Below are 2,341 nucleotides of genomic sequence, written 5' to 3'. Positions count from 1 at the left end.
CCTTCATGCATAATTCAGCCACTGCTGATATAGAGATGGCAACTAATTCAAAGGATTCCTCTAGCTTCTAAAACATTCTCTATGAAACTCATTTATGTGGTAGTAGCATGAGGTGCATCTCCTGTTTGTTTTATGTAAATGAAAATCCTAACGTTGAAGCCCACTTATTTGCCATATTACTAACTCTTCAACTATCCAGATAGTTTTGCTGTCCTGCTAGTCTTTCCAGGAAAGCATATATGATAGTTTTTAACAAATGTCCTCAACATTATTTCCCCATGGAATCTGTGACTTGAGATGTTCCAAACTTCTCCATTTTCAAATTTCCACTTTTGATGTATCAAATATATAGACAAGTGCACAAAACATCGATGTTCCACTCAATGAATCAACAGGAAGCTAAACATTTTTGAATTTTTGATTAGTTTATTTATTTTTAAATTAAAATGAATTATTTTTGAGACCAGGTCTCACTGTGTTGTCCAGGCTGGCTTTTAACTCCTGGGACTCAGGTGATCCTCCCGCTTCAGCCTCCAGAATCCCTGGGACTGCAGGTATTTGCCACTGTGTCCAGCTAAACCCTTTTTAATTATCACCAAGGTTAAGAAATCTAATTACATCACCACTCATATACTAAATTAGTATTATACCTGAATTATTTTGTGTTGCTGTAAAAGAATACCTGAAGCTAGTGGTTTATTTAAAAAAAAATTTGGTTCACAATTCTGATGGATAGAAAATTTAAGATTGGGCATCTGCATCTGGTGAGGGTCTCAGGCTGCATCTATTCATGGTGGAGGGTGAAGGGAGCAGGTGTGTGTAGAGATCACATGGGGAGAGAGGAAGCAGGAGAAGTGGGAGTGGGGATGCTTGGCTATATTTAACAACCAGCTCTTGAGGGAACTAAGAGTGAGAGCTAACTCGCCCTGGAGAAAAGGCATTAATCTATTCATTAAGTATCTCCCCACAAACACTTCTCACTAGGCCCCACCTTTAACAGTAGGGATCCGATTTTAACATGAGATTTGGAGAGGACAAACATCCAAACCATCGCTGGTTTGATATTGTTCCTTTAACAATTTAACGAGCCTCTCAAGACTCAAATCAAGATTTATTTCCTCCATGAACTTTCTACCAAAAAGTAAATCCAAGGAAGAGGTGTTTCTAATTAAAATGGATGGATGGATGCTTGTCAAAGACTCACGCTGTCTTCCTCTGAGTGCTTTCAAAGGTTAGTTCTTATAACAAGGATTCTGCCCTTAAATTAATATATAGAACCATGGAGAAACTCTGTTCAGGCTGACTTCATAGTCCACTCTCCAAAGAGGCATGCTAAAGGTGATCTGAGGCGCTAAAAGAAAATGGTAAAATTTCTACTCATGTGTTTCTTTATGACGTTCTATTTTTATATATGTTTTATGATGCACATAAAACATGCACAAAATTATATTGTGTATTAGCAATAGTATGTATAAGATTTATGAATTACAAAATCAATATACAGAGGGCACATGCACAGAATATTTACTGATAGGTATGTGATATTAAAAATCTGGAGAATAATGATGTTCATTACTTGTGTTCTCAATTGAGCTTCATACAGCTAAAGATTCCTATTCTTAAAAAAAAGTGAAATTCTACTGTATTGTATCCTCTCATGTCTGTTCATGATGAAGTCTTTGAAATTTCCTGTGAGGGCTTTGCTACTTATCATCTCTTCCTTGGCTTATGTTTCTCTCTCTGTCTAGAGTCCTCATTCATGTTCCTGTATGTAAAAACAGCACATCATGTTTTTAATTTTTCTAAATTGATATATCAAATATACAGGAAAGTACACAAAATAGATATTTTATTTCAAAAATAAATTAACATAATTTTATTTTATTTAATAAATTCGCAGAAAGCTAAACCCTTTTTAATTATCACCAATCTAATAAAATTACATCATCACTCACATGTCCCCTCCTATTTCTACCACTCACTATTCCCACATTCTCCTGTAAAGTTGTGATTGATTATTCAGAATTCCAACACACATATTCATGGCTCTGCCTGACTACAGCTTACTCATGGTCCACAGTTTCCAACTTCTCTATGTGTGTTCTTTAGCTTTTCCTTTTTCCCTAATCAGCTAAAGAGTCTAACATCTTTGGTTCAAATTCTTCAGAGTAATAATTAAGTTAATTCCTTTCTCCCCTATGTGGGATCAACTTTCAAAAAAAATAAAAGCCCCTTATATGCCATTGATCAGTTTATATGAATTAATTATTCCTGAATTTGATACTGCTTATCAACCAACCATCTGTAGCCCCAGAGGTAAGAACAGGGCAGGCATGGATTG

The sequence above is a fragment of the Homo sapiens genome, chromosome 2 (genome assembly GCF_000001405.40).
Source record: "Homo sapiens chromosome 2, GRCh38.p14 Primary Assembly".
Classification (NCBI taxonomy): domain Eukaryota; kingdom Metazoa; phylum Chordata; class Mammalia; order Primates; family Hominidae; genus Homo; species Homo sapiens.
Note: the sequence above shows the minus strand (reverse complement) of the source record.